Source organism: Homo sapiens, chromosome 3 (assembly GCF_000001405.40).
Source record: "Homo sapiens chromosome 3, GRCh38.p14 Primary Assembly".
Classification (NCBI taxonomy): domain Eukaryota; kingdom Metazoa; phylum Chordata; class Mammalia; order Primates; family Hominidae; genus Homo; species Homo sapiens.
The window spans coordinates 104,029,903-104,036,770 of record NC_000003.12 but is presented as its reverse complement, the minus strand read 5'-3'; the positions used below and the strand labels follow the sequence as shown (position 1 = coordinate 104,036,770).

The following is a 6,868-nucleotide window of genomic DNA, read 5'->3' as shown; positions in this document are numbered from 1 at the left end:
GTGGCCGGGCGTGGTGGCTCACGCCTTTAATCCCAGCACTTTGGGAGGCCGAGGCGGGAAGATCATGAGGTCAGGAGATGGAGATCATCCTGGCTAACACGGTGAAACCCCCCGTCTTTACTAAAAATACGAAAAAAAAAAATTAGCTGGGTGTGGTGGTGGGCGCCTGTACGCCTGTAGTCCCAGCTACTCGGGAGGCTGAGGCAGGGGAATGGTGTGGACCCGGGAGGTGGAGCTTGCAGTGAGCCTAGATTGCGCCACTGCACTCCAGCCTGGGCAACAGAGCAAGATTCTGTCCCACCCACCGCCAAAAAAAAAAAAAAAAAAAAAAAGAAGCTCTTGAGTTTAATTCGGTCCCAAGTGTACATTTTTCTTTTCACTGCAATTGCTTTGGGAGACTTCATTGTATTATATTTGTTGAGGCCAATATTCAGAAAAATTATTTCCTAGGTTTTGTTCTAGGATTTTTAGTAATTTGAGGTCTTATATTTAAGTATTTAATCTATCTTGAGATAATTTTGGATATAGTGAGAAGTAGGTATCCAGTTTCATTCTTCTGCATATGGTTAGTCAGTTTTCCCAGCACTGTTTATTGAATAGGGATCCCTTTTCCATTGCTTGCTTTTGTTGACTTTGTCAAAGAACCGTTGGTTGTAGGTGTGTGCATTTATTTCTGAGATCTTTATTCTGTTTCATAGGTCTATGTGTCTATTTTTCTGCCAGTGTCATTCTATTTTGGTAACCCTCTAGTATACTTTGAATAGGGGCAATGTGATGCTTCTGGCTTTGTTCTTTTTGCTTAGGATTGTTTTGTCTATTCAGTTTTTTTTTTTTTCATTTTGTTCCATATGAATTTTAGGAATTTTTTTTTAATTCTGTGAAAATTGCATTGGGCGGTATGAACATTTTAAAGATATCTGTTCTTCCATTCCATAATCATGGAATATTCTTCCATTTGTTTGTGCCATCTATTATTTCTTTCAGCAGTGTTTTCAAGTTCTCCCTGAAGAGAACTTTCAAGTTCTTGGTAGTATGCATTCCTAGGTATTTTAGTTTGTGTGTGTGGCTATTGTAAATGGGATTCCATTCTTGATCTGGCTCTTGGGTTGACTGTTATTCCTACATAGAAGTGTTGCTGAATTTTGTCCATTAATTTTGTATCCTGAAGTTTTACTGAAGTTATTTATGGAGCCTTTTGATGCGGCTGTCAGTAATTTCCAAGTATAGAATCATACTGTCAGCACAGGGAGATAATTTGACTTCCACTTTTCCTATTTGAATGCCTTCTATTCCTTTCTCTTGTCTGATTTCTCTGGCTAGGACTTCTCTAGTACTATATTGGATGAGAGTGGTAAATGGTGAGTGATAAATGATGAGACATGTAAATGGGCATCCTTGCCTTGTTTCAGTTCTTAGCAGGAATGCTTCCAGCATTTGCACATTCAGTATAATGCTGGCTGTTGGTTTGTTATAGACTACTCTTATTATTTTGAGGTATGCTCATTTGACACCTAGTTTTTGAGGGCGTTTGTCAAGAAAGGATGTTAGATTTTATAAAATACTTTTTCTGTGTCTATTGAGATGATATTTCTTAAAAAAATTTGTTTATTTGATGAATCACATTTATTGATTTGTGTATGTTGAACCAACCTTGCATCCCAAGAATAAAGCCTACTTAATCATGGTGAATCAAATTTTTGATGTGCTACCTGATATAGTTTTTTACTATTTTGTTGAGAATTTTTCTGACTTTGGTCTTTAGAGATATTGGTCTACAGTTGGTTTTTTTTTTTTTTTGGTTTTGTTAATTGTGTCTTTGCTAGGTTTTGGTATCAGGATGATACTCTTTTCATAGAATGAGTTAGACAGAAGTCCCTTTTCCTTGACTTTTTATAATACTTTCCATAGGATTGGTAGCAGCTCTTCTTTCTACATCTGGTAGAATTTGGATGTGGATCCGCCTAGTCTAAGGGTTTTTTGGTTGGTAGTTTTTCTAATACAGATTCAATTTCAGAACTTGTTATTGGTCTATTCAGGGTTTCAATTTGTCCTGGATCAATCTTGAGAGGTTGTGTGTTTCCCGGAATTTATCTACTTGCTCTAGATTGTTTATGTGCATGGAGATGCTCATAATAGGATCTAAGGATCTTTTGTATTCCCGTGGGATCCCTTGTAATGACTCCTTTGTCATTTTTGATTTTGCTTATTTGGATCTTCTCTCTTATTTTCTTTGTTAATCTATCTAGTGGTTTATCAATCTTGTTACCCTTCCAGAGCACCAACTTTTAGTTTCATTGATCCTTTGGATGGTTTTATGGGGTCTCAATTTTGTTTACTTCTGCTCTGATTTTAGTTACTTCTTTTTTCTGCTAGTTTGAGATAGTTTGCTCCTGTTTTTCATAGTTCTTTTAAGTGTGATATTAGATTAATGTGAGACCTCTCTATTGTCTTAATGTAGGTGTTTAGCAGTATAACATTTTATCTTAACACTGATTTAGCTGCATTTCGGGGGTTTTAGAATGTAGTGGCTTTATTTTCATTTGTTTAAAATGATTTCTGCTTTAATGTGGTTGTTTACTCAAAGGTCATTTAGGAGCAAGTTGTTTATATTTCATGTAATTGTGTGGTTTGATGTTAATTTCAATTTTTATTCCACTGTGGTCTGAGGATATACTTGTTATGATTTCAATTTTTTAAAATTTATTGAGACTTGCTGTATGACCAACCATGTGATTAATCTTAGAGTATGTTCCATGTGCGGATGGAAAGGACATATATTCTGTGGTTTTTGGGCGGAATGTTCTGTAGAAGTCGATTATGTCCAATTGGTCAAATGTCAAATTGAAGTCCAGAATGTATTACTTGTTAGCTTTTTTTTTTTCATTCGTAATCTGTCTAATGCTATAAGTGGGGTGTTGAAATACCCCTCGGTTATTGTGTGGCTAAGTCTTTTCCTAGGTCTAGAAGTAATTGTTTTATGAATCTGGGTGCTCCAATGTCATAGGGATACTATGAATTTAGGATAGCTAAATCTTGTTGAATTAAACCCTTTATCACTTTGTAATGCCCTTCTTTGTCCATTTTTACTGTTGTTGGCTTAGAGTCTGTCTTATCTCACACAAGAATAGTGACTCCTGCTCTTTTTTCTTTACCGTTTGCATGATAAATCTTTCTCCAGCCCTTTATTTTGAGCCAAAAGATTTCATTACATGTTAGATGGTTTTTTTGAAGAAAGCGGAAGGATGGGTCTTGTTTTTTAATCCAATTTGCCACTCTGTGTCTTTTATGTGTAGGGCTTTGACCATTTACATTCAAGGTTAATATTGATATGTATGGTTTTGTTACTGTCATGGTGTTGTTACCTGGTCCCTTTGTATTCTTGATTGTATGGTTGCTCTGTAGGGTCTGTAGGCTATATACTTACGTGTGTTTTTGTGGTAGCAGGTATTGTTCTTTTGTTCCATGTTTAGAACTCCCTTAAGCATCTCTTGTAAGGCTGGGTTAGTGGCAGAGAATTTCCTTAGTGCTTGCTTATCGGGGAAAGATTTAATTTCTCCTTCACTTATGAAGCTTAGTTTGGCACATTATGAAATTTTTGGCTGGAATTTCTTTTCTTTGATGATGCTAAGAATAGAGCCCTTATCTCTTCTGGTTTATAAGGTTTCTACTAAAAAGCCCATTGTTAGTCTGATGGGATCCTCTAACAGGTGATATGACCATATTTTTTCCAGCTTCCTTTAAGATTTTTTCTTCTGCATTGACCTTGGAAAGTCTGATGACTATATGGCTTGGGTATTATCTTATATCATATCTTACAGGAGTTCTTTCAATTTTTTGAATCAGTGTGTTGACCTCTCAGCAAGATTGGGGAAATTATCATGGATTATATACTCAAATATATTTTCCAATTTGTTTACTCTTTTTTCTTCTCTCTGAGCAATGCGTTATTTATAGATTTGGTTACTTTACATAATCCCATATTTCTCGAAGGATTTTTTTCATTTAAATTTTTTTCTTTGTTTTTATCTGATTTGGTTGATTCAAAGGAACAGTCTTCAGATTTTGAAATTCTTTTCTCTTCTTGGTCCAGTCTGTTGTTAAGGCTTCTAGATGCATTTTGAAGTTCCTGTAGCAAATTTTTCAATTCCAGAAATTCAGTTTGGTTCTTTCTTAATATAGCTATGTCATCTTTCAAATCTTAGATTGTTTTTCTGGCTTCATTGGATTGGATTTTAATTTTTTCTTGGCTCTCATTGAATTTCTTTGCCATCCAGATTCTGAATTGCATGCCTGTCATTCCAGACATTTCAAGCTGGTTAGAATCCATTGCTAGGGAGCTAGTTGATTCTTTGGTGATAAGGAAGTGCTCTGGCTTTTTGAATTGCTGTAGTTCTTGTGCTGATTCCTTCCTATCTGAGGGAGCTGGTGCTACTTTTTCTTTTGAATTTGCTATCATTTGGATTGGGCTTTTTGATTTTATATTATTTTTCCCCATGAGGATTTGACTGTGGCTTATGCTATGTATTGTCAATTGGCTTCATATCTAGGTGCTTTCAGAGGACCAAGGCCCTGTAGGGGTTCCTTGGTTGTAGATAAGTTCCTGAAGTGGGTTTCACAGACACCATATGTTGAAACAGTGTATTTTTATTGGGTAGTGTAATTTAGGTTGCAGTCCATTAATGGTGCTTAAGGGTAAGAGCCAGCAGATATGCTCCTACTCAGCTGCAGTTCACCCTTTTGTATTTTAGTGTCTCTTGCAGCAGTCCTCTAGAGAGGAAAAGCAGGGGCAAGAGACGACTCCCTCTCTAAGTCCATTTCTGGGCCTTGATGGTTTCCACTTCAATCATTGGTGCCATGCTCATGTTTCCTTGGCCCCAAGGGGTAATTTGGCAGCCTGTGCTCCCCTCCCCTTAGGGTCAGTCTGTGTCAAGAGTTCCATGACTCCCTGGCAACTTACCAGTCCCCTGTGCTTGCTGGAATCAGAGCAAGTTATGGGGTATGTCTGTGGCTGCTCTGGTGATGTGGTAGGTCAAGGGCAGAGGATCCCTGGACAGGGCAGTGGCACTTCAGGTATGCAACTGGGATGTTTTCCACAGGTCTGGGACTTTTAGCACAGCAGATGGCTCTGAGACCCATCCAGCTCATAGTCCCCCAACCTGGTGGGTCTTTCTCCATCTGCCCTGTGAGAAGGCCTGATCTGCTAGGCTTGTCCCACACCTTCTGTGCCCAGATTGTTGAGCTATTCCAGATCTTCTAACCCAGGGGCCTTCCTGGTAAAGAAGCCGTGGCTGGCTATTAGGTTACACCCTTCCCAGTCCAGTTTGCAAAGGAAGGGATGCCCGGCTCCTGTGCCAGCACATGAACCCATGCCACCCTCTTCTCTGTGCTCTGAGTATGGGGCTATTCCCCAGCTTCAGCTTAGGCCACAGGTCTCAGCTTGACTCTCCTGGGTGGTGTTCTCAAGTCCTGGGGAATTGGGATTGGGACCAAGCCCATGGGTTTGTCCACTGGCTCCTTGTGGTCAAGCACTGACTGTGCTGGTGTATAAACTTCTCCCAGGCTACCAGCAACATACTCAGGCAGGGCAGTGGAGGCTGTGCTGTGGGCATCCTCTTTCAGGAGTGGCCAGGAAGGCAGTCATGGGAGGAGCCAGCAGACAAGGGGGTAATTGGATCAAATGCACCTTTGTCCTCCGGCTGTGGTAGCTCTGCTGTCTCTCAGCCCTGCAGACAGCAGGAGCTACAACCACTCAGTGCAAGATGGAGAGCCTTATGTGATAGGCACTTACAGCTGCATTTCCCTGCAGCTTCACAGCACAGCAAAACCTTCCGGGCTCTGTGCAGTTTCAAGCTGTGTCCCTGACTGTTCCCCAGGCAGCTTCCCCTGCCACTTCAAAGGTCTTTGGAGGTCATAGGAACTCCTGCAGATGGGATCCCAGAGGTCTGCAGTGGAAATGTGGTACCCAGGGGTTCCTTCACTCACCCTTTCTTTAAGTCTCGTTTGGGTCCGTGGGCCAGTCCTGATGCCCAGTGACTTTAAGCAGCCTTCTCAGCTTCCTCTCTTTTCAACCGTGGTGTCTGTGTTGCCTCTGTATCAACATTCAGTAATTTCCCTCAAAAGATCTGTTCAAAGCCTGATAGTTTACTCAATATTTTGGTTCCTCTTCATTGAAAAGGCATTTCTCAGCTGTCTCTAGTCAGCCATCTTGCCAAAACTCCTCCCAGAACTCTTGAATAGTACATAAGAACTAATTGCATATTTATTTGCTAAATAAATTTAAATTTAAATTTATTTGCTAAATAAATATGCAATTTACAGAGAAACACATATTTTAAATGCTACTAAATTAAGTACCACAACTGATAAAATATGTACTTTGACAACAAAACTTCTTTTCCTTTAATATATTGACAAATATTATAACAAATCATGCTTAAAACCAGTACTGTTCATTTTTAAACAGTATTTTTAAAATCACAATTTTATGTCTAAAATCATGCTTAAAAAGCATGTTTAAAGTGTCAACGATGTGAGGAAATACATACTCTCAATTAGTGCAGGAAAGAGTAAATTATTTCACATTTTCAGAGTTTCGAGGCAATTTCTATTACACGTTTTAAAAACATATATATGAACGTGCATACACACACACATACATTTGTTTATAAAACATTTAAACTTTGAGCAACATCGCCTAATAAAATTTTAGATATATTATTAGATGGGTTCATAATTATCTTTACTCATGTTTTAAATGTAGGTTTTATAATGCAAGTTAGATGAATCCCACACTTCAGGAAAAGACTGCTATTGAATAGCAAGTTTGTTATTCACATTTGTAAGAGGAGAGGGCATGCTACATCACATA

General features: G+C 38.8%; 1 annotated feature.

The window, feature by feature from the left end:
• Positions 5,376 to 5,900: an enhancer, noted in NCBI's record as "H3K27ac hESC enhancer chr3:103749715-103750239 (GRCh37/hg19 assembly coordinates)". NCBI's record gives its function as "activates a minimal SCP1, AML or CMV promoter by ChIP-STARR-seq in primed H9 embryonic stem cells {active_cell/tissue: H9 hESC(primed)}" and the evidence as "EXISTENCE:reporter gene assay evidence [ECO:0000049][PMID:30033119]".